Below are 25,327 nucleotides of genomic sequence, written 5' to 3'. Positions count from 1 at the left end.
CTCTCCCTACTGTTTTGCTCCCTCTCTCACCATGTGGTACCTATTCCTCCATGGGTGGAAGCTTCCTGAAGCTTCACCAGAAGCCAAGTGGATGTTGGCACCATGCTTGTAGAGCCTGCAGAACCATGAACCAAATAAACCTCTTTTCTTTATAAATTACAGTATTAGTCCATTCTTGCATTGCTATAAAAAAAATACCTGGCCGGGCATGGTGGCTCATGCCTGTAATCCCAGCTCTTTGGGAGGTCAAGGCGGGCGGATCACTTGAGGTCAGGAGATCGAGACCAGCCTGGGCAACATGGTGAAACCCCATCTCTACCAAAAATACAAAAAATTAGCTGGGCATGGTGGCATATACCTGTGGTCCAGCTACTTGGGAGGCTGAGGTGGAAGGATCGCTTGAGCCTGGGAGGCAGAGGCCGCAGTGAGCCGAGATCACGCCACTGCACTCCAGCCTGGGCAACTGGGTGAGACTCCATCTCAAAAAAAAAAAAAAAAAAAGGAAAAAAGAAATACCTGAGATTGGGCAATTTATAAAAAAAAGACATTTAATTGGCTCACAGTTCTGCAGACTGTACAGGAAGTGTAACGGCATCTGCTTCTGAGGAGGCCTCAGGGAGCTTCCAATATTGGTGGAAGGCAAAGGAGGGGCAGGCACATGACATGGCAGGAACAAGAGAGAGAAGGAGGCAGTGCCACACACTTTTAAACAGCCAGATCTCATGAGAACTCACTGTCACGAGGACAGTACAAGGGAGATGGTGCTAAACCTCTCATGCAAAATCTGCCCTCAAGATCTAAGCACCTCCCGCCAAGCCCCACCTCCAACAATGGGACTACGATCCGACGTAAGATTTGGTGGGGACACAGATCCAAACCATATCAATTACCCAGCTGCAGGTATTCCTTTATGGCAATGCAAAACAGACTAACACAAGGATAAAGTGAGATTTGAGCCAAAGCCAAAGGAACTGGGAGAACCATGAGGTTATCCCAGGCGGCAGGAACAGTGAACTGCAAAGGCCCAGAGGAGGTTACTAAGACTGAAAAAAAAGAAACCAAGGAGATGGGGTAAGAGAGTTAACAAAGAGCCACACGTGTAGGATCTCTGGGCCACTGTGAGGACTCAAGCATTGACTCTTGAATGAAGGGGTCAGTGCAGGGTTTTAAGCAGAGGGATGACGTGACTTCACCTAAGTTTTCAAACAGTCACTGAGGTTGCTGAGTTGAGAGTACACTGGAGTCAGAAGAGGGCCAAGTGGTACTGAATCAGAAACACTGTCTTAGTCCATTTTGCTATAAAGGAGTACCTGAGACTGGGTAATCTATGTCTTTTATTTTTTTGAGACAAGGTCTCACTCTGTCACCCAGGCTGAAGTGCAGTGGCACAGTCACGGCTTACTGCAGCCTTGACCTCCTGGGCTCAAGCAATCGTCCCACCTCAGCCGCCCAAGTAGCTAGGACTACAGGCACATGCCACCATGCCTGGCTAATTTTTGAATTTTTTGTAGAGATAGAGTTTTGCCATGTTGCACAGGTTGGTCTCAAACTCCTGGTCTCAAGTGATCCACCTGCCTTGGCCTCCCAAAGTGCTGGGATTATAGGCGTGAGCCACTGTGCCTAGCCCAATCTATGTTTTAAAAAGGTTTATTTAATGCAGAGAACCCCAGTGAGATATTACGTAAGATGGCCATCCCCAAGACACAAAATCATCAGATTCTCCAGTCGAAATGAAAGAAAAAATGTTAAAGGCAGCTAGAGAGAAGGGGCAGGTCAGCTACATAGGGAATCCCATCAGGGTAACAGTGGACCTTTCAGCAGAAACCCTACAATCCAGAAGAGATTGGGGCCTATATTGAGCATTCTTAAAGAAAAGAAATTTCAAGCAGGGCATGGTGGCTCACATCTGTAATCCCAGCACTTTGGGAGGCCAAGATGGGTGGATCACCTGAGGTCAGGAGTTGGAGACCAGCCTGACCAACATGGTGAAACCCCATCTCTACTAAAAATGCAAAAATCAGCCAGATGTGGTGGCGCACACCTGTAGTCCCAGCTACTCGGGAGGCTGAGGCAGGAGAATCACTTGAACTCGGGAGGCAAAGGTTGCAGTGAGCTGAGATCGCACCACTGCACTCCAGCCTGGGTGACAGAGAAAGACTCTGTCTCAAAAAAGAAAACAAGAAATTTCAACCAAGAATTTCATATCCAGCCAAATTAAGCTTCATAAGCGAAGGAGAAACAAGATCCTTTCAGGCAAACAAATGCTAAGGGAATTTATTACAACCAGACCTGCCTTACAAGAGGTCCTTAAGGAAGTGCTAACTATGTAAAGGAAAAATTGTTATGGGCCACCATAAAAAGGTTTATTTGGTTCACAATTCTGATATCTGAAAAAGTTCAAGATTGGACAACTACATCTGGTGAGGGCTCCAGGCTGCTTCTACTCCTGGCAGAGTAGAAGTGAAAGGGAGCTGGCGAGCACAAAGATCACATAGCAAGAGAGGAAACAAGAGTGCAGGAGAGGTTCCAGGCTCTTCTTACCAACAAGCTCTCTTGGGAACTAAGACAGCAAGAACTCACTCACCCCTCCCCCAGGGATTCATCTATTCAGGAGGGATCTGCCCCCAGGACCCAAACACCTCCCATTAGGCCCATCACCAACACGAGGGATCAAATTTCAACATCAGTTTTGGGGGAACAAACAACAAATTATAGCAGAAATCAATGGTGAGATGACTGTCCTAATCCAGACAAAATATCATGGCAGTGTCAAAGCTGTCAGAATCAACAACATGGAGTTACTTATGTTAAAATATCCCTGACAATAAGAGCTAGGGAAGACAAAGAATTCGCACACTTAGATTGTTTTTTTTGTTTTTTGTTTTTTGTTTTTTTTGAGACAAGGTTTCACTCTGTCCCCCAGACTGGAGTGCAGTGGCGCCATCTTGGCTCACTGCAACCTCTGCCTCCCGGGTTCAAGTGATTCTCATGCCTTAGCCTCCCGTGTAGCTGGGATTACAGGCATGTGCCACCACACCAGGCTAATTTTTGTATTTTTTAGTACAAATGGGGTTTTGCCATGTTGGCCAGGCTAATCTCAAACTCCTGACCTCAAGTGACCCACCTGCCTCAGCCTCCTAAACTGCTGGGATTACAGGCATGAGCCACCACACCTGGCCTCACACTCAAATTCCTGACAATGAGAAAGATTCTACAAAAAATACAACCTTGCACAAAGACCAGTGCAACCTTACACAAAAAATACTACTGCAAGGACATCTGCCCAGCAACTTCATGTCCAACCTTGGATTGTGTCACCTTTGTTATTAACCTTTGTAGGCAAGAATAATTATTTCAAAACAATTCTGTAATCCTCATTTTTTCCCTTACAAATCTTTGCCTTCCTTTACTTCCCTGAATACATGCAGTTTACTATGGCAATTGTATCCCCATTGCAATGTACGTGCTATTCCCAAACAAACATCTTTTCTTTTGGAGAGCCTCTCTATGGTATTTAGGTTGACAATGGCATGGACCAGGGGAGTAGCAGTGAAGGTGGTAAGAAGTGATTGGAAACTGAATCTATTCTTAAAGTAGAACAAACAGAATCTGCTGACAGACTGGACATGGGTTGTATAAAAAGAAGTCAAAAGGTGTTTTGGACCAAGCAATTGGAAGGATAAAGTTGTCATTTACTGAAATTGTAAGGATTACAAGTAGAGCAGGCTTGGGCAGAAAATTGGGAGTTCAGTTTTGAGCACACTGATGTTAAGATGCTTACTAGACATTCATATGATGCTCTAAGATAGGTAACTCGATATGAAAGTCTGGAGTTGAGAGAAACAGTTAAGATTAGAAACAGAAATTTAGGGCCAGGCGCGTGGCTCAAGCCTGTAATCCTAACACTTTCAGTGGCCGAGGCGGGTGAATCACTTGAGGCTAGGAGTTTGAGACCAGCCTGGCCAACATGCAGAAACCCCGTCTCCACTAAAAATACAAAAATCCCAGCACTTTGGGAGGCCAATGCCACTGCACTCCAGCCTGGGTGACAGAGTAAGACCCTGTCTCAAAAAAAAAAAAAAAGAAAAAAGAAAAAGAAAAAGAAAAAGTTACAAAAAATATAAGAGAAAAGATCTGAGACACAGAAGACGATCCAAAAGGTAGAACATCCCACAGGAATCCCAGAAAAAAAGAAATGAAAAGGGGAAAAAAAAATTCATCCAAGAAATATTAACAGAACTAATGCACACAAATCGTCAAAATGCATACAAATCGTCAAAACAAAAAAAATTCAAGTATACAGAACAATAGCTGAAAAAGATCCAAATAGTCACCTTCCCATAAAATTTCCAGAAATCAAGGACAAAGAAATGATCCGAAAATCTTCCAGAAACAAAATAATCAAGTCATCTACAAATTCGCTTTCTCATTAGCAATACTAACATGCTGGAAGACAATGAAGCTACGCCTTCTGAGGCAAAAGTTTTTAATAGTCTTCTACACACGACCAAATATGAATCAATCAAATCCAACAGCAGAATGAAGAAATATTGAGATGGGCTGGGCACAGTGGCTCACACCTGTAATCCTAGCCCAATATTGAGATGGGCTGGGCATAGTGGTTCATGCCTGTAATCCTAGACAGAAGGATCTCTTGAGGCCAGGAGTCAAGACCAGCCTGGGCAACATAAGGAGACCCCATCTCTACAAAAAAAATTTTTTTAATTAGCCCAGCATGGTGGCACAAGCCCATATTCCCATCTACCCAGGAGGGTGGGTCAGGAGAATCGCTGGAGCCCAAGAGGTCGAGGCTGCAGTGAACTAAAATCATGCCACTGCACTCCAGCTTGGGTAACAGAGCAAGACCCTATCTCTTTTTTTCTTCTTTCCTTTTTTTTTTTTGTTTGAGACAGGTTCTCACTCTGCTGCCCAGGCTGGAGTGCAGTGGTGCAATCTAGGCTCACTGCAACCTCCACCTCCCAGATTCAAGCAATTCTTCTGCCTCAGCTTCCCAAGTAGCTGGAATTACAGACGTGCACCACCACGCCCAGCTAATTTTTTGTATTTTTAGTAGAAATGGGGTTTTGCTTTGTTGCCGAGGCTGGTCTCGAACTCCTGGCCTCAAGTGGTCTGCCCACCTCGGCCTCCCAAAGTGCTGAGATTACAGGCATGAGCCACCACGCCAGGCCAAGACCTTGTCTCTTAAAAAATAAAAATAAAGGCTGGGCGCGGTGGCTCACGCCTGTAATCCCAACACTTTGGGAGGCCAAGGTGGGCAGATCATGAGGTCAGGAGTTCGAGAACAGTCTGACCACCGTGGTGAAACCCCATCTCTACTAAAAATACAAAAACTAGCTGGGCATAGTGGTGGGCGCCTATAGTCCCTGCTACTCAGGAGGCTGAGGCAGAAGAATCGCTTGAACCCGGGAAGCAGAGGTTGCAGTGAGCCGAGATCGCGCCACTGCACTCCAGCCTGGCGACACAGCGAGGCTCCATCTCAAAAAAATAAATAAATAAAAAATAAATAAATAAAATAAAATAAATAAAAATAAATTCAGATGGCGCAGCTTTAAGATGGAAGATGGCTATCTACCCCAAAATCAACTATGATATGGACAGCAACATTAAGCCACTGAGACTTGAGGGCTGTTTGTATAAACTAATTAATATAAAGAGCCAATAACTTTTGTGTAATGTTGATAAATCTCGAAACACAGCATAAGCATCAGAGGAACTAAAAATAGAAATAGTTAAAAGGTTTCTGGAGAGTACATTTCATTATGAACTTTCTGTACACCTGGATTTGTTACCATCTGCAAGTATTCGTTTGATCTTTTTGATCATTTTTTTTAAAAAGGTAAAAACATGCATAAAGAGGCTCTGAAAAAGGTTTTTTATAAGTAACATTAAAAGGACTTTGCTTTGGCTGCTCAGACACCTTTTTGCTTTTTTTCAGGTTTCCCACCTCCACTGCTTAAGGTTTAACTTAACAACTGACCTTCGACTGTAAAATGAAGCAAAGTATCTGCACTCAAGTAGTGAAAACCTAAGAAGTACTATTCTGCGCAACTTCCACAAGAGGGCAGTAGAACCCTCTGAAGTAGTCCACAAAAGTAACAGACCTTGATTTTTCCTCTAATTTATTTTCATGCTAGCCTTCCTTAAAATCTTTTCCTAGAAAGCACTAACTAGCTGTGACCTGGCTAGGCCTCGTGGCTCATGCCTATCATCTCAGCACTTTGAGGGCCAAGGTGGGTGAATATCTTGAAGCCAGGAATTCAAGACCAGCCTGGACAAGATTGCAAGATCTTGTCTCTACAAAAAAATTAAATAAATTTTTTGGCTGGGAGCGGTGCCTCACGCCTGTAATCCCAGCACTTTAGGAGGCTGAGGCGGGTGGCTCATCTGAGGTCAGGAGTTTGAGAGCAGTGTGACCAATATGGTGAAACCTCGTCTCTACTAAAAATACAAAAATTAACTAGATGTGATGGCAGGCACCTGTAATCCCAGCTACTAGGGAGGCTGAGGCAGGAGAATTGCTCGAACCCAGGAGGCAGAGGTTGTGGTGAGCCGAGATCACACCACTGCACTCCAGGCTGGGGGACAGAGTGAGATACCATCTCAAAAATAAAATAAATTTTTTTAAAATAGCTGTGACCTTGTAACACAGAAACAGGTAGCATCTAGATATAATTAGAGAATGGGACTGGGCACGGTGGCTCACGACTGTAATCCCAACACTTTAGGAGGCCGAGGCGGGCAGATTGCTTGAGCCCAAGAGTTTAAGACCAGCCTGGGCAACATGGCAAAACCCCATCTCTACAAAAAGTACAAAAATTAGCTGGGTATGGTGGCATGCACCTATAGTCCCAGATACTCAGGAGGCTGAGGTGGGAGGATGCCTTGAGCCCGAGAGGCAGAGGTTGCAGTGAGCGAAGATGGCACAACTGCACTCCAGCCTGGGCAACAGAGAGAGACCCTGTCTTTAAAAAAAGAAAAAAAAAAGCAAAAAGGAGAAATCAAAGTACATGCCAGATAATATCACTAAATCCTCACAGTGACCCTGAGATAACCATACTATTACCATCTGCAATTTACCATTTCACAGATAAGCAACTGAAGCTTAGATGGCACTACAGCCAGACACTGTTCCCCCGCAAAAAAGAGAGAGAATGGGAAGCATCTTTCAACTAGATATCAGCTGTATTTACTTTAGTGTCTACCTTTAACACTTTTAGCACTATTAGAAATCAAAACAAGTTTCATTACATAGATGTGTGACGTGAGGCCAGGTGCAGTGGCTCACGCCTGTAATCCCAGCACTTTGGGAGGCCGAGGCAAGCGGATCACCTGAGCCCAGGAGTTTGAGAGCAGCCTAGCCAACATGGCAAAACACCCATCTCTACTAAAAATACAAAAATTAGCCAGGCATGGTAGCAGGCACCTATAATCCCAGCTACTCGGGAGGCTGAGGCAGGAGAATCGCTTGAGGTGGAGGTGGAGGTTGCAGTGAGCCGAGATCGTGCCACTGCACTCCAGCCTGGGTGACAGAGTGAGACTCTGTCTCAAAAAACAAAATAAAAAATAAACATAGATGTGTGATGTGAAAGTCAGGCCCATATTGGAACTATTAGTGCCATCCTTTTTTCCCTATTCCCTACTTCCATACCCATGGGCATCGATAATGGACTCACAACTTTCTCTAGCCTGCTGAGGCAGAAGCAAACTTCAGAACAAAGGCCCCCTCAAGACACTGACCATCAGACACCACCAATCAGCTCTAACTGGGCACAGGAGATGAAACCTGCCTACCGTCACAGAATGGAAAAATATTTGAGGGGAAAAGGCTGGGAGAAAGAATAAAGAAGGTTAGATGACCAATTCAGTTCACTGCTAAAGGACAGTTCACTGCTAAAGTTCACTGCTAAAGGGATTTTCTTAAAATGTCAGGAAACCAAAGGAAAAGCATCATATAAATTTCTTACCTTCGCTGTTCCAGTCTGAGAACCATAAAAAATCTTCACTCCAGACACAAAGATGTCTTTCTCTTGAAGGGAGACATAACCATTTGTCATCAAATCCTGAGCTGCTTTTGGAACAGATTTTTCCTGTAAGTTCTTGCCCTTGAAGACAAATAATTACACAAAATCCATCAAGTCTAAATCGTTTCCCAACTTCAGCAGGGATGAAAATTAGCACAGATACTGACACATTTTATTTTTCTCTTAATCTGACACACTGTATTTTTCTCTTAATCTTTCTGGTTGTATTCCTCAAATATTAGCCCCTTGGTATAATAAGGTCCTTTAATAGGCAGGACCCACATTTTTAAGGCTCATGATTTCCTTTCCCTCCAAGAAAAAACTTTACATACTTTTATCCTATAAGGTATTTTAGTAGAATAATAGTAGGAACTTATTTTCTGATCCTTAATTAATGGAAAGAGAGGACTACTGACCCTTAAAGGTATAAAACAAATTTGTTTTTCATATAAAAGGTTCACTTTTCATTACAAAAATCTTCCTGTATCTTAAAAATGAGACACACCTATCAAAGAAAAAGTAAAGAACTTAATCCAAGATAACTTAGTCTCCAAAAACTTAGAGAAGAAATTTATTTTAGGCATTTCATTAAAATGTCTAAAGACCAAACACAAAAGTAATTAAAGGTTCCTTTTAGTATTTAAATCCTCTATAAAATCTGATGCCTAAATACTCCATTAAAAAAAAAATAACTCCACTTACCTGCGTCTTGATGACAATCTGGACACAAATCCAAAGGCTAATGCTAACAGCAAAGCCCAAATAAATGTAAAACCTGTTTATCCATAATGATATTAAAGGTGAGAAGAGGTCCCATGTATCCGCAGAAGGATCTAAATTTAAAATGACACACACAATTTCATTTAAAGCTACATATACAAAGATATCCATCCCAATTTTAAGAAGAAAATAAAACCAACCTTACATTCAACAACCCAGCTAAGAAATCTAATTTAAAAATCAACTGTTGGCCGGGCACGATGGCTCATGCCTGTAATTCCAGCACTTTGGGTGGCTGAGGCGGGCAGATCACCTGAGGTCAGGAGTTCGAGACCAGCCTGGCCAACATGGTGAAACCCCGCCTCTACTAAAAATACAAAAATTAGCCGGGCGTGGTGGCGCGCACCTGTAATCCCAGCTACTCGGGGGGCTGAGGCAGGAGAACTGTTTGAACCTGGGAGGGAGAAGTTGCAGTGAGCCAAGATTGCGCCACCGCACTCCAGCCTGGGCGACAGAGCAAGGCTCCATCTCGGGGGCGGGGGGGTGGGGAACAACTGTAATAAAAATAACACACTATGTAGTAACGTAATAAAATTATCACACTGTTAACACTAACTCAAAGAAAAAACAGAATATAAAATTGTATCTTCACTTCGAAATGAGCATTTAGAAGCAAGAGAAGGAACACAAAGTAAAAATACTTCATGTGAAATTAATTTTGTTTTGTTGTGCTTGCTCCATAAAAAAAGCTTAAGTAGTAAAAGCACTCTTTTTACTAACTGTACTTTCAAAGGCTCACGGTTAAACTTGTAAAAGATTCTCAAGTAACTGACCTTACACCTCATTTTTTTTTTTTTAAGAGAGATATGCAGGGACCTGGCTTCAAACGTTCAACCTGGGAGCAATTTCAAAAGTCGAGGCCTGAAATTTAGGCTTTACAGGTGCAAAAGTCCTAATACACGTAGGTAAAGTGGGAGGGGTAGTTTTCTGTCTAACCCCCTAGCCTCAAAAGGCAAAAGCCAGGTCAAAAGTAGGGATCAGTCCTCCTTGCTCTCAGCGGCGACTAGCCGGTGCTGTCAAGTGCAACAGTCTCCGAAGGAAAGGGACCGAGGACGCCACTCCGCCCGGAGAGGGTCTCAGTAAAACGTTTACCTCCCCTGCCGCCCCAGGGTCCTTGCCCGCCGAGTGCCCTTACCCATCCTCCTCAGAGCCGACAGGAGACTAGGATCTCGGACCTGGATAGCCCGATGATTCGCACTGGTACCGCGAGACGCACCGAGCTACCTCGCCGCGTTAGCGGCGTACCGAGTGCCTGCAGACCTGTGGGCAGCCATGACACTGCCAGGCCGGTCCTGATTGGTTCAGAGGACGAAGAGGTGGGCCCAGAGGAAAGCCCAGAGCTCCGGGAAAGGAAGCCAGTGCCCGGTGCGCTCTCGGCCCTGCTCCGATTGGCTCAGAGGGGAAAGGGGGCGTGCCCAGAAATAAGCACCTCCCAGAGTTCCAGGCGATGAAGGCGGAGCGCTTCCGCCTCCATTTGGATTGGCTCAGACTGGGAAAAGGCGGGCCCAGAGAGAAATGATTGGCATGGGAAAATTAAAAGAGGAAAGGAGCGGGGAGCGGGGGAAATGCTATGTGGGCCTGTTTGGATCTTAACTGAAATAAACCGACTGTAGAAAGGCATTATTTTTGGGAAACCCGAGGATGGACTCGCTATTAGATGATATTAAGGAATTGTAGTTAATCTCGTCGCGTGTATCTGTTAAGGGCTATAGGCTGAAGTATTTAATGCTGAAACCATATGATGGTTTCTTTAAAATACCCCCAACCGGCCGGGCGCTGTGACTCAAACCTGTAATCCCAGCACTTGGGAAGCCGAAGCGGGAGGATCGCTTGAGCCCAGGAGTTCGAGACCAGCCTGAGCAACATAGTGAGACCTCGTCTGTACAAAAAATTTTTTTTAATTATTTATTTAATTAAATTAGCTTGGCGTGGCCGCTCACACCTGTAGTCCCAGCTACTTGGGAAGCTAACGCTGGAAGATCGCTCGAACCCAGGAGGTCGAAGCTGCAGTGGGGCCATGACCCTGCCACTGCACTCCAGCCTGGGTGACAGAGTGAGACTGACTTAAAAAAAAAACTGTAAATAAAAAAGCAACAAAAAAATGAAAAAAGAATAAAACAAGGATGGCAAAATGTTGATAGCGGGGTGATGGGTACATAGAAGGTTCATTACACTTTTTTGTCTACATTTTATGTTAAAATATTTCTATTATAAAAGGGTGAGTAAATAAAAATATTTATTATAAAATAATTCTATTATAAAAAATATTTATATTATAAAGTGGGTCTGGCCCTTGAATTCCGCGGAACGAGGTGGTGCCAACGCTGTGTTTTAACCCGGTCACTAAACATCCGCGAGCATCCTGTCAGAGCTCTCAGCTCATTGGCGAAAGTAAATACGCCAAGGAAAAGCACCTCCCTTTTTGGGCGTGGAAAGATGGCGTAAAAAGCCACAATACGCAGGCGTCATCGCTCACTTTTCCCCTCCCGGCTTCTGCTCCACCTGACGCCTGCGCAGTAAGTAAGCCTGCCAGACACACTGTGACGGCTGCCTGAAGCTAGTGAGTCGCGGCGCCGCGCACTGGTGGTTGGGTCAGTGCCGCGCGCCGATCGGTCGTTACCGCGAGGCGCTGGTGGCCTTCAGGCTGGACGGCGCGGGTCAGCCCTGGTTCGCCGGCTTCTGGGTCTTTGAACAGCCGCGATGTCGATCTTCACCCCCACCAACCAGATCCGCCTAACCAATGTGGCCGTGGTACGGATGAAGCGTGCCGGGAAGCGCTTCGAAATCGCCTGCTACAAAAACAAGGTCGTCGGCTGGCGGAGCGGCGTGTGAGTAGCCCCCTCCCTCGGGCCTGGGCCTGGGCCTGAGCCGTCACCTCCGAGGCGGCCTGTCTCTGCCCAAGTCGAGTGAATGGGCCAGGCTGGGGTGTTGGCCGGGGAGGAAATGGAACATTCCTGCTGTGAGCATGAGACGTCGCTGTCCGAGCTTGGCGCCTAAGCCAAGGGTTTCTTCTTTATTTGGTTGGTTCGGATTGGGTTGTTGGTTTGGGGTTTTGTTTTGTTGGTGTCATAAAAGCTGCAGCCAAGAAATCTCGTAATTGTGGTCCTTTTCCTAGAATAATGATGGCTGAGAACCTAGTCTTACGAATACTGTCATAGTTGTGGGTACATCTGGTGTCATAGATCTCAGTAGCCCTAGCAGTTTAAAGTGCGTAGTGTCTTCACTGCTGCCATCTAGGGACTGGCATTCCGTGGCAGCAGCTGTCTGCACCCCACCCCACCCTTGTGTTTCTTACGTCCTCCCATGACATTTTTCTCCAGTGAGCAAATGGTAAGGCAAATACGGTTCTGAGTTTTGAAAATGTTCCCTCAGGCCGATGCGGGCAGTTCACTTGAGGCCAGGAGTTCGAGGCCAGCCTGGCCAACATGAAACCCCATCTCTACTAAAAATACAAAGTTAGCCGGGTGTGGTGGCGCATGCCTGTAATCCCAGTTACTCAGGAGGCTGAGGCGGGAGAATCACTTGAACCCGGGAGGCTGAGGTTACAGTGACCCGAGATCGCGCCATTGCACTCCAGCCTGGGCAAAAACAGTGAAATTCCATCTAGGGGCGGGGGTTGGGGGGTAAGAAAAAGAAAACTGCCCTCTACACTAAAGGTCATCAGGGGGATTTGTTGTGTCTTGCCGTTCATGTTGTTGCCATCTCGTATTTAAATGTAAATGCATGTCCAAGTTTCAAGTATATTCACATAGGACTTTCTCTCCTGCCCTCACAAGGGAAAAAGACCTCGATGAAGTTCTGCAGACCCACTCAGTGTTTGTAAATGTTTCTAAAGGTCAGGTTGCCAAAAAGGAAGATCTCATCAGTGCGTTTGGAACAGATGACCAAACTGAAATCTGTAAGCAGGTGGGTAACAGCTGCAGCATAGCTAACCCTAATAACCATTTATAACGTATTTGTAGATATATTAAACATTAAAGGCTGTTTTTCTGGAGGAAAGACTAACCAAGCAATAATGTGAACTGCACAGTGTCACTTCTAATAATAAAGAACTTGGTGGTTTTGTTTGTTTTTTGTGGTTTTTTTTTTTTTTTTTTTGCCAAAACCTCCTGAAATCAGATTTTCTACTAAATTACCTCATTTTTCTATAAATTGCCCCATTTATAGAATGTGGTATACCTGAAAACTGAATTTGTTTTCAAGTATTTCATCTTTCAGATCCTTTTTTTTTTGGGTGGGGGGACAGAGTCTTGCTCTGTTGCCCAGGCTGGAGTGCAGTGCACTTCACTGCACTCAGCTCACTGCAACCTCTGCCTCCTGGATTCAAGCGATTCTCTTGCCTCAGCTTCCAGGGTAGCTGGGATTACAGGTGCCCACCACCCTGCCTGGCTAATTTTTGGATTTTTAGTAGAGATGGGGTTTCACCATGTTGGCCAGGTTGGTCTCAAACTCCTGACCTTGGGTGATATGCCCGCCTTAGCCACCCAAAGTGCTGGGATTACAGATGTGAGCCACTGAGCCCAGCCAAAAGATTCTTGCATCTTTTGGGCAAAGCTCAAACCATTACTTACATATTGATAGCTGGAGAGGATGAAATTTAATTTTCTCTCCATCCAGTTACTCATTTTTTATGGTTAGTTAATAAATAGTGTGTGATAGAGAAAGATAGTGATTTCTTAAATGTGTTGGCATTTTTTTAGATTTTGACTAAAGGAGAAGTTCAAGTATCAGATAAAGAAAGACACACACAACTGGAGCAGATGTTTAGGGACATTGCAACTATTGTGGCAGACAAATGTGTGAATCCTGAAACAAAGAGACCATACACCGTGATCCTTATTGAGAGAGCCATGAAGGACATCCACTATTCGGTGAAAACCAACAAGAGTACAAAACAGCAGGTGAGTGGTTTCTCATGTCATCAAAATATAGCCATGGAAATCAGTTTTCTCTGAAGAAATCATTAAAATAATGGGTCTGGGGCCAGGCACAATGGTTCATGCCTGTAATCCTAGCACTTTGGGAGCCAAGATGGGAGGATTGCTTGAGGCCTGGAAACAGCCTGGGAAACATAGGGACGCCCCATCTCTAAATTTTTTTTTTTTTTTTTTGAGACAGAGTCTTACTCTATTGCCCAGGCTGGAGTGCAGTAGTATGATCTCGGCTCACTACAATCTCCACCTCCCGCGTTCAAGCAAGTCTCCTGCCTCAGCCTCCTGAGTAGCTGGGATTATAGGCACGTGCCACCACACTCAGCTAATTTTGTATTTTTAGTAGAGTTGAGGTTTCACCATGTTGGCCAGGCTGGTCTTGAACTCCTGACCCTAGGTGATCCGTCCGCCTTGGCCTCCCAAAGTGCTGGGATTACAGGCATCAGCTACCGTACCCTACCTCTAAATTTTTTAATATAAAAAATTAAATTTAAAAAAATGGGTCTGCATGGAAGCAAGTGGGTAGAGGTTTGGGGAAGAGATGGAGGAAAAGGACGGGGTTGTAAAGATAGGTAATTTTTTTTTTTCAAGTAAACACAAATATGTATATAGGACTTTCTTCTTCCTATCCAAATCAAACTTTTAAAGACAAAACTTGAGTTTTTAAAGGGTCATTTTAACACTTCTTTTTGAATTTTTTAATTTATATATAATTCACATACCATAAATTTCACACTCATAAAGTATGTACACTTTAAGTGGTATATTAACAAAGTTTTGGAACCTTCCCTGCTACCTGGTTCGAGAACATTTTCATCACCACAAAAAGAAAGTCAGTATCCATTAGTAGCCATCCCCCATTTTCCCCCCACAGGCCCCTCCCAACCACTAATCTCCTCTCGTTATGGACTTCTCAATTCTGGACATTTCATATAAATGGAATCATACAATATGTGGCCTTTTCATGGTTCATACATGTTGTAACCTGCATCAGCATGTCATTTCTTTTTTATGCCGGAATAATAGCCCACTGTACGGAAAGAAACACATTTTGTTCATTCATCTATCAGTTGATAGACATTGGGTTGCTTTCACTTTTGAGCTATGATGAGCAATGCTGCTATAAAATTTCTTGTATGTTTCTGTGTAGACATATGTTTTCATTTCTGTATACCTGGTGACTACCAAACCTATTTCTAAAACAGCTGCACCATTTTACTTTACCACCATCAGTGTTTAAGAGTTCAGTTTCTCCACATCCTCAGTAATACTTGTCATTGTCTGCCTTTTTGATGATGGCCATCCTGGTGGTATCTTGTCGTGGTTTTGATTTGCATTTCCTTAATGATGATTTGAGCATATTTCCATGTGCTTATTGGTGCCTCGTCTGTCTTCTTTTGAGAAATCTCTGTTCAGGTTCTTTGCCCACCCCCCCCGCCCTCTTTTTGCAAACTCTGCCTCCCGGATTCAAGCAATTCTCCTGCCTCAGCCTCTTGAGTAGCTGGGATTACAGGCGTGCACTACCACACCCGGCTAATTTTTCTTTTTTTGTATTTTTAGTGGAGACGGGGTTTCACCATGTTGGCCAGGCTGGTCTCGAATTCCTGACCTTGTGATGCACCCGCCTCGGCCTCCCAAAGTGCTGGAATTACAGGCGTGAGCCACCACACCTGGCCTTCACTTTCTTCATAGTTTTTTGAAACACAAAAGCTTTTCTTCTTGATAAGTCCAATTTTTCTATTTTTTTTTTAACGGTCACTTATGTTCTTAATGTTATACCTAAGAAACCATTACCTAATCCAACTACATGGAAACTACTTTGTTTTTGAAAACCTTATGAAATAATATAGTAGAAGAAATTGCATTCTCGATTTTGTCTTGGTAGGCTTTGGAAGTGATAAAGCAGTTAAAAGAGAAAATGAAGATAGAACGTGCTCACATGAGGCTTCGGTTCATCCTTCCAGTCAATGAAGGCAAGAAGCTGAAAGAAAAGCTCAAGCCACTGATCAAGGTCATAGAAAGTGAAGATTATGGCCAACAGTTAGAAATCGTAAGAGTCAAATATTTTCTTTGCTTCATGTTACCTAAATATTGTATTCTCTAGTAATAAATTTGTAGCAAACATTTAGATGTTGTAAACGTCAGATATTTTCTTTTCTTTTTTTTTTTTGAGATGGAGTCTCGCTCTGTTGCCCAGGCTGGAGTGCAGTGGTGCTATCTCAGCTCACTGCAAGCTCCGCCTCCCGGGTACACGCCATTCTCCTGCCTCAGCCTCCTGTGTAGCTGGGACTACAGGCACCCGCCACCAAGCCTGGCTAATTTTTCGTATTTTTTAGTAGAGACGGAGTTTCACCGTGTTAGCCAGGACGGTCTTGATCTCCTGACCTCATGATCCACCTGCCTCAGCCTCCCAAAGTGCAGGGATTACAGGCGTGAGCCACCGCGCCCAGCCAGATATTTTCTTAAGACTAAAGGTTGGTCAGCCTTGTTTACCACAAATCCTTTTATTTTTTTCCCAGCATTTATTTTTGTCATATATTATGCGTAGTGTTTTAGATACATGATTTTAGCAAATTTAGCAACTATTTAAAATAAGCCACTTAAAAATTGCTATTTTAGTGGAAGATTGATAATTCCAATTACCTTAAAAATTTTGCAAAAATTAGTACAAAGCACACTATGGAAATTTACATTGAGTTTTCAGAGATAGCTCAATTGCATGCTTTACTCCAGTGCTGATCATAATCCTAAAAGACAATCCCAAATGCCACAATCCCAATGTTGAAATCATAAAAAAATCAAAATCTCTAAAGTCCAAAGCCTGAACTTCTAATATCTTGAAAATCACAGTTCCAAAAGATTGAATCCTGGCTGGGCGCGGTGGCTCATGCCTGTAATCCCAGCACTTTGGGAGGCCAAGGCAGGTGGATCACCTGAGGTCGGGAGTTCGAGACCAGTCTGACCAACATGGAGAAACCCTGTCTCTACTAAAAATACAAAATAGTCTGGCGTGGTGGCACATGCCTGTAATCCCAGCTACTCGGGAGGCTGAGGCAGGAGAATCACTTGAACCTGGAAGGCAGAGGTTGCGGTGAGCCAAGATTGCACCATTGCACTCCAGCCTGGGCAACAAGAGCGAAACTCCATCTCAAAAAAAAAAAAAAAAGATTGAATTCTGAATGATGAAATTCTGAAAGCTGAATTCTGGCAAAAGGATTAGCACTCTTTGAGTTGTATGCAGGATAGTCGCGTCTGGTTAATTGCATCATGTGAGGAAAAGCTAGGACCTTGTTATTGTCTTCATTTGAAAATTAAAAATGGTTTAAAGAGATGAGTCTGGGTGCCAAGTTGATAAGGGGTGGAATTGTGGATGTAATTTTAGGTGTCAACTTGACTGGAAAGGAATCCCTAGAAGCCTGATAAAGCATTGTTTGGGGTATGTCTGTGAGGGTGTTTCCAGAGGATATTAGTGTGTGAACCTGGTGACACTAAACACAGAACATTTTAAAGAAGCAGCGAAACCATTATGTCCTTATGACCTCACCCCACAGCTTCAAACACAGTGTAAATTGAGCTGTCTACAAATTCATGTTTTCAAGGCTTTGCAGCTTATTTATTTATTTATTTATTTATTTATTTTTGAGACAGGGTTTCACTCTTATTGCCCAAGCTAGAGTGCAATGGCGTGATCTCAGCTCACTGCAACCTCTGCCTCCCGGGTTCAAGCGATTCTCCTGCCTCAGCCTCCCGAGTAGCTGGGATTACAGGCATGTGCCACCTCGCCCAGCTAATTTTGTATTTTTAGTAGAGACGGGGTCTCTCCATGTTGGTCAGGCTGGTCTCGAACTCCCGACCTCAGGTGATCCACCCGCCTCGGCCTCCCAAAGTGCTGGGATTACAGGCTTGAGCCACCGCGCCCTGTCTGCAGCTTCTTTTTAAAAGTAAATGAGCTGTAGAGAAGTGTTGAGTATGTGAGTATCCACTGTAGATGTGAACTAACTCATCTGACACTACTTGAAGTTCTAAAATCTTTGCAAAACTGTACACATGGGCCAGGCACAGTGGCTCGTGCCTGTAATCCCAGCACTTTGGGAGGCCAAGGTGAGCAGATAACATGGTGAAACCCTATCTCTACTAAAAATACAAAAAATAAGCCAGGTGTGGTGGTGGGTTCCTGTAATCCCAGTTTCTTGGGAGGCTGAGGCAGGAGAATCACTTGAACCTGGGAGGCGGAGGCTGCAGTGAGCCAAGATCACACCACTGCACTCTATCTCAAAAAAAAATAAATTAACATACACATGGTGTCTACATAAGTCTTCACATTGCTTTTTCTCCTTCATACGTGGAGGTGACTTTACTGAGCTATAAAATGTAATGCTAAATTTTAGTATGAGAAGAATCAGAGTTTTCTAGTTTGTCCCTTCCATTTACAGCTGAAGAATCAGAATAAGTGTTTAAACATAGGGATTAATGCCTTGTCACAGGGGGCTACATGGACACTTGAGGGCAGAGGCTAAACTGGAACCCAGTGTGCCGCCCTACCCATTGTCTTATCTATTGCACCATAGAACTGTGGTATTATTAGAGATCTGGACAGCATTGTGCTTGCCTCAAAGGAAGTTAAAGCTGAGTTTATTCTGTGTCTTGCTCATCCTCATGTGGTAATCTGCTACGTTAAATGTTTCAGGTATGTCTGATTGACCCGGGCTGCTTCCGAGAAATTGATGAGCTAATAAAAAAGGAAACTAAAGGCAAAGGTTCTTTGGAAGTACTCAATCTGAAAGATGTAGAAGAAGGAGATGAGAAATTTGAATGACACCCATCAATCTCTTCACCTCTAAAACACTAAAGTGTTTCCGTTTCCGACGGCACTGTTTCATGTCTGTGGTCTGCCAAATACTTGCTTAAACTATTTGACATTTTCTATCTTTGTGTTAACAGTGGACACAGCAAGGCTTTCCTACATAAGTATAATAATGTGGGAATGATTTGGTTTTAATTATAAACTGGGGTCTAAATCCTAAAGCAAAATTGAAACTCCAAGATGCAAAGTCCAGAGTGGCATTTTGCTACTCTGTCTCATGCCTTGATAGCTTTCCAAAATGAAAGTTACTTGAGGCAGCTCTTGTGGGTGAAAAGTTATTTGTACAGTAGAGTAAGATTATTAGGGGTATGTCTATACAACAAAAGGGGGGGTCTTTCCTAAAAAAGAAAACATATGATGCTTCATTTCTACTTAATGGAACTTGTGTTCTGAGGGTCATTATGGTATCGTAATGTAAAGCTTGGATGATGTTCCTGATTATCTGAGAAACAGATATAGAAAAATTGTGCCGGACTTACCTTTCATTGAACATGCTGCCATAACTTAGATTATTCTTGGTTAAAAAATAAAAGTCACTTATTTCTAATTCTTAAAGTTTATAATATATATTAATATAGCTAAAATTGTATGTAATCAATAAAACCACTCTTATGTTTATTAAACTATGGCTTGTGTTTCTAGACAACTTCCTAACTCCCTTTCTTTTCTCTGCCTGTGTCTGTGGTAGGGTTAGGGAGTTGTCAGGAGAACTGAATAAGTCCATATGAAGAGTGCTTAGAACAGGGCCTGTACTTGTAAACACCTGAAAAATTTTTGCTAACACTTGGGATGTAATTGGGAAGAATTATTTTAGTATTTAAACACTTAAATGGACAAGATGCAAGCTTTTAAAAATCTACTTCAAGGCCAGGGGAGGTGACTCACACCTGCAATCCCAACACTTTGGGAGGCCGAGGCAGGCGGATCACCTGAGGTCAGGAGTTTGAGACCAGCCTGACCCACATGGTGAAACCCTGTCTCTACTAAAAATACAAAAATTAGCCAGGCATGGTGGTGCACGCCTGTAGTCCCAGCTACTCGGGAGGCTGAAGCAGGAGAATCACTTGAACCCAGGAGGCAGAGGTTGCAATGAGCTGAGAATGTGCCACTGCACTCCAGTCTAGGTGACAGAGTGAAACTCGGTCTCCAAAAAAAAGAAAAAAAATCTATTTCAAAAGATACATTCTAGAATATAAATTAAATTCACTCAAAATAAACATACAGATGTATTTCTGGACAGCAGTTTTTAACTGAAGACAGGCTTCTTGACTTGAAAAGGTACTGATTGGTTTATAAGCACACACAACTCCCTGCTAATACAAGCTCTCAGAAATGTCCCTTTAGTTTAAAATAACTAACATTGAGGTTATAAAGTCAAAATTTTTTCTTATATTGTTAACAAAATACATTGATAACATGGGAATGAACACTTTTTCTGTTAATGCTAAAGCTAGGCTGCTGTTTTGATACAGCTATTTGTTCAATATATCAATAGTTCTATCTTAGTAAAAAAATATAAACATTTAATAGAACATTTCCTTAAGATTTTCTGGGGCCAGGCGCAGTGGCTCCCACCGGTAATCCCAGCACTTTGGGAGGCCAAGGCGGGTGAATCACTTGAGCTTGGGAGTTTGAGACCAGCCTGGGCAACACAGTGAAACCCCGTCTCTACAAAAATACAAAAAATTAGGCATGGTGGTGTGCACCTGTTTTCCCAACTACTTGGGAGGCTGAGGCAGGAGGATCACTTGAGCCCGGGAGGCGGAGGTTGCAGTGAGCTAAAATCACCCCACTGCACTCCAGCCTGGACAACAGAGCCAGACCCCATCTCAAAACAAAGATTTTCTGATTCTGAATATTCATTTTTTCTAAAAAGCTGGAACTTCAAGAAATGTCAAATGTGGATCACATCTGAGTCATCATCTAAACTTATTTTTTTAATTTTATACTAATTTCATTATCAAAGAACTTAACATTTTTTGGTTCATGATCATCTTCCCAGTACCACAGCCATAATGGATTATTTTAAGGATTGGTTTGACTTTTTCAATGCAAGCTGATGGTGTGTGCATTTGGTCACAATGACATTTCAGACTTAGGCCTCTTCTTTTACCACAGTTCTTTTCTCTGAAGCTTCCCTTGTACCCCATACACAAGTATTTGCTCCAGTTGCTGGAAGCCAGTACTCTACTTAAATTCCTTCATGGGTCTGGATTTATTCAAACTTGTATTAGAGCTGCTTAATTATCTGCCTTCAGGCTAGACTGTGAGCTCCTTAAGGGCAAGGGACTTAGCAATGTGTGTGTATATCCCACCATGCTTTGGACCTAGCAGATGTGGAGTAAATGTCTGAAATAATAAACACGTGGACCAGGCACAGTGGCTCATGCCTGTAATCCCAGCACTTTGGGAGGCCCAGGTGGGCAGATCACCTGAGGTCAGGAGTTCAAGACCAGCCTGGCCAAAATGACGAAACCCAGTCTCTATTAAAAATACAAAAATTAGCTGGCTGTGGTTGCTCACGCCTGTAATACCAAGACTTTGGGAGGCCAAGGCAGGCAGATCACGAGGTCAAGAGATCGAGACCATCCTGGCCAACATGCTGAAACCCTGTCTCTACTAAAAATACAAAAATTAGCTGGGCACGGTGGCGCATGCCTCTAGTCCCAGCTACTCAGGAGGCTGAGGCAGGAGAATCACTTGAACCTGGTAGGCAGAGGTTGCAGTGAGCCACTGCACTCCAGCCTGGGTGACAGAGCGAGACGCTGACTCAAAAAAAAAAAGAAATTAGCTGGGCATGGTGGCGGCCGCCTGTAATCCCAGCTGCTCAAGAGGCTGAGGCTAGAGAATCTCTTGAACCTAGGAGGCAGAGGTTGCAGTGAGCCAAGATTCTGCCACTACACTCCAGCCTGGGTGACAAGAGCAAAACTCCATCTCAAAAAAAATATATTTTATATCAGAACTAAATGTAAACATAAAACTATCAGATACTGGCTTACACCTGTAATCTCAACACTTGGGGAGGCCAAGGCTGCCGGATCACGATGTCAGGAGATGGAGACCATCCTGGCTAACACGGTGAAACCCCGTCTCTACTAAAAATACAAAAAATTAGCCGGGAGTGGTGGCACGTGTCTGTAGTCCCAGCTACTCGGGAGGCTGAGGCAGGAGAATCACTTGACCCTGGAAGATGGAGATTGCAGTGAGCCAAGATCACACCACTGCACTCCAGCCTGGGCGACAGAGCGAGACTCCATCTCAAAAAACAAACAAACAACAACAACAAAAAACTGTGAGTTAGTAGAAAATATAAGGAAATATTTAACCTAAGGGTTAAAAGACTTTCTTAAGAAAAACAGAAACCTAAAAATTATCAAGGAAAATACCAACAGATTTAACTACATAAAAATGTAAAATTTCAGAATGACAGAAGACACTTTAAAGAAAGTTTAAAGAGTCCAGGCACAGTGGCTCATGCCTATAATCCCAGCACTTTGGGAGACCAAGGCAGGAGCATCGCTTGAGTCCAGGAGTTCAAGACCAGCCTGAGCAACATAGCAAGACTCTGTCTGTACAAAAATTAAAGAATTAACTGGGTGTAGGCTGGGTGCAGTGGCTCACGCCTGTAATGCCAGCACTTGGGAGGTTGAGGCGGGCAGATCACCTGAGGTCAGAAGTTCAAGACCAGCCTGGCTAACACGGTGAAACCCCATCTCTACTAAAAATACAAAAAATTAGCCGGGTGTAGTGGCACGTGCCTGTAGTCCCAGCTACTTGGGAGCCTGAGGCAGGAGAATCGCTTGAACCCGGGAGGCAAAGGTTGCAGTGAGTTGAGATTGCACCATAGCACTCCAGCCTGAGCCTAGGCGACAGAACAAGACTCCGTCTCAAAAAAAAAAAAAAAAGAATTAACTGGGTATAATGACACATGCCTGTAGTCCCAGCTACTAGAAAGGCTGAGGTAGGAGGATTGCTTGAGCCTGAGAGGTTGAGGATGCAGTGAACCATGATCAGGCCACTGCACTCAGCCTAGGCAACACAGTGAGACCCTGTCTCAAGAAAAAAGTTTAAAGATATTATGGCTCAGCTAGGCACAGTGGCTCATGCCTGTAATCCCAGCACTTTGGGAGGCCAAAGCTGGTGGATCACTTTAAGTCAGGAGTTCAATACCAGCCTGGGCAACATGGTAAAACCCTGTCTCTACTAAAAATACAAAAAAAAAAAAAATTATCTGAGCATGGTGGCACGCGCCTGTAATCCCAGCTACTCAGGAAGCTGAGGCAGAAGAATCTCTTGAGCCCAGGAAGCGGAGGATGCAGTGAGCTGACATTGTGCCATTGCACTCCAGCCTAGGCGACAGAGAATAAGACTCTGTCTCAAAAAAAAAAAAAAAAAAAAAAAAAAAATTATGGCTAGGAGAAAATATGTGCAACAGGTAAGACAGGTAAAATGCCAATAAGTTATGACCAACCAAGAAAAAGGTCTAATATTCACCCCTAAGCATGGGGAAAATTGACACATTAATTTAAAATTAAATGCAAAATAGGATATTCAGCTTCTCTCAGAGAAATGCTAAACAATGAGAAATCATTTTCTACCCATCATATTGAAGAAAAGGTAAGAGATTAATTGTGATATTGGCAAGGAAGTGAAGGAACAGGCACGTTCATGCATTTACTGATAGAAGCATAACTGGCTCTAACCTTTCAAGAAAGTAATTTGGTGGTATCTTTTTTTGTGATGGAGTCTCCCTTTGTTGCCTAGGCTGGAGTACAGTGGCACGATCTTGGCTCACTGCAAACTCTGCTTCCTGGGTTCAAGCGATTCTCCTGCCTCAGCCTCTCCAAGTAGCTGGGATTACAGGTGCATGCCACCACGCCCAGATAATTTTTTTTTTTTTTTGTATTTTTAGTAGAGACGAGGTTTCACCATGTTGGCCAGGCTGGTCTCAAACTCTGTTTTTTTGTTTTGTTTTGTTTTTTTGAAATGAAGTCTAGCTCTGTCACCCAGGCTGGAGTGCAGTGGCGTGATCTCGGCTCATTGCAACCTCCACCTCCCAGGTTCAAGCAATTCTCATGCCTCAGCCTCCCCAGTAGCTGGGATTACAGGCACCCGCCTCCATGCCCAGCTAATTTTTATATTTTTAGTAGAGACGGGGTTTCACTGTGTTGACCAGGCTGGTCTCGAACTCCTGACCTCATGATCCGCCTGCCTCAGCCTCCCAAAGTGCTGGGATTACAAGAGTGAGCCACCATGCCTGGCCAGGTCTCAAACTCTTGACCTCAGGAGATCCACCTGCCTCAGCCTCCCAAAGTGCTGGGATTACGGCATGAGCCACTGCACCTGGCCTGGTGGTATCTTAAAATTTTTAAATATGTGCACTTTTTTTTGTTGTTGTTGTTGCAGGAGGAGGGTCTTGCTCTGTCGCCCAGGCTGGAGTGCAGTAGCAAGATCACTGCTCACTACAGCCTCAACCTCCCTGGCTCAAGTGATCCTCCCACCTCAGCCTCCTGAGTACCTGGGAAGACAGGCAGGCACCACCATGCCCGGCTAATTTTTTTTTATTTTTCGTAGATACAGAGCCTTGCTATGTTGCTCAGGCTGGTCTCAAACTCCTGGCCTCAAGCAATCCTACCACCCCGACCTCCCAAAGCCCTGAGATTATAGGCATGAACCACTGTACCTGGCCATGTGCACCATTTGATACAGCAATTGATTGCTCTTTAGGCATCTATCTGCCAGAAATAAAATTACCTAAATTCTAATGTTATTTTCTGCTTGTATTAGTAAAAACTGAAAATGGCCATCAATAGCAAATATAGGCTGAGTATCACTTATTCCAAATGCTTGGGAAATAAGTATTTAAAATTTCAGATATTTTTTCAGATTTTGGCATATTTTCATGCCTAATTCAAAAATTCAAAAATCAAAATGCTCAGGGACCATTTCCTTTGAGCATTATGTTTCTAATTTGGGGTTTTTTTCAGATTAGGGATACTCAACCTATAGTTAAATGAATTGTAACATCTACTTATTGTGGATTTTTTTTTTTTTTTTTTTTTTTTTTTGAGATGGAGTCTCGCCCTGTTGCCCAGGTTGGAGTGCAGTAGTGCAATCTCAGCTCACTGCCACCTCCAACTCCCGGATTCAAGTGATTTTCCTGCCTCAGCTCCTGAATAGCAGGGACTACAGGCACGCATCACCATGCCTGGCTAATTTTTGTACTTTTAGTAAAGACAGGGTATCCCTATTTTGGCCAGGCTGGTTTTGAACTCCTGACCTCAGGTGATCCGGCCCATCTCAGCCTCCCAAAAGTGCTGGGATTACAGGTGTGGGCAACTGCACCCAGCCTATTGTGGAATATTAAGTATATTTTAACAAATGAGACATCTTCCCGTATGTCCTACAGGGATGTCCATGGTAATAAGTGGAGGAGGGGTAGAGATGGAAGAGGGAATAAAACTATGGAGGAATGTATTATGGCGTGATCCCATTTTTGTCACTTTTTTGGAGGAAAAACCCTAAATATGTGTGTACAGGTGTATATACGGTTGAAAGAGCATAGAAAAATCTGTGGAAAAATATACATGTAACCTACACAAGCATATTACAACCAGCATGATTAGTTTTGAAATAAAGTTTTCAGCCAGTCACGGTAGCTCATGCCTGCAATCCCAGCACTTTGGGAGGCAGAGGTAGGCGGATCACCT

General features: G+C 43.7%; 2 protein-coding genes across 7 annotated transcripts in view, besides 2 other annotated features; one reads left to right on the top strand and one right to left on the bottom strand.

The window, feature by feature from the left end:
* Positions 1–10,107, bottom strand: part of TYW1 (tRNA-yW synthesizing protein 1 homolog) — a 242,682-nt gene extending 232,575 nt beyond the window's left edge. For all 6 annotated transcript variants that reach the window (NR_134540.2, NM_018264.4, XM_017012392.3 and 3 more), the window contains exons 1-3: positions 9,958–10,107; positions 8,745–8,875; positions 7,986–8,123 (exon numbers count right to left, since the gene is read on the bottom strand). Coding sequence is in view for 5 of the 6 variants with exons in the window: in NM_018264.4 (NP_060734.2) it covers positions 7,986–8,123; positions 8,745–8,875; positions 9,958–9,961 (273 nt within the window). In the remaining variant the exon portion in view is untranslated. The remainder of the gene's footprint in view (positions 1–7,985; positions 8,124–8,744; positions 8,876–9,957) is intronic.
* Positions 10,237–10,356: a silencer, noted in NCBI's record as "silent region_18219". NCBI's record gives its function as "represses an Ori minimal core promoter by ATAC-STARR-seq in GM12878 lymphoblastoid cells {active_cell/tissue: GM12878}" and the evidence as "EXISTENCE:reporter gene assay evidence [ECO:0000049][PMID:35858748]".
* SBDS (SBDS ribosome maturation factor) lies at positions 11,354–19,260 on the top strand. The gene is made up of 5 exons (NM_016038.4): positions 11,354–11,650; positions 12,599–12,728; positions 13,523–13,723; positions 15,639–15,803; positions 18,441–19,260. The coding sequence occupies exons 1-5, from the start codon at positions 11,523–11,525 to the stop codon at positions 18,567–18,569; spliced, it is 753 nt and encodes a 250-aa protein (NP_057122.2). The 5' UTR covers positions 11,354–11,522; the 3' UTR covers positions 18,570–19,260.
* Positions 11,921–11,970: an enhancer, noted in NCBI's record as "active region_26091". NCBI's record gives its function as "activates an Ori minimal core promoter by ATAC-STARR-seq in GM12878 lymphoblastoid cells {active_cell/tissue: GM12878}" and the evidence as "EXISTENCE:reporter gene assay evidence [ECO:0000049][PMID:35858748]".

The sequence above is a fragment of the Homo sapiens genome, chromosome 7 (genome assembly GCF_000001405.40).
Source record: "Homo sapiens chromosome 7, GRCh38.p14 Primary Assembly".
NCBI classification, from domain to species: Eukaryota; Metazoa; Chordata; class Mammalia; order Primates; family Hominidae; genus Homo; species Homo sapiens.
The sequence above is the reverse complement of the archived record's forward strand: the minus strand, read 5'-3'. Positions and strand labels throughout refer to the sequence as shown.

What these genes read in the sequence shown, in the direction of transcription:
- SBDS (NM_016038.4), top strand. Translation starts at nt 11,523, where the DNA reads ATGTCGATCTTCACCCCCACCAACCAGATCCGCCTAACCAATGTGGCC. An exon ending in GTCGGCTGGCGGAGCGGCGT is followed by an intron (nt 11,651 to 12,598) that starts GTGAGTAGCCCC and finishes TGCCCTCACAAG; the next exon opens with GGAAAAAGACCTCGATGAAG. An exon ending in ACAAGAGTACAAAACAGCAG is followed by an intron (nt 13,724 to 15,638) that starts GTGAGTGGTTTC and finishes TTGTCTTGGTAG; the next exon opens with GCTTTGGAAGTGATAAAGCA.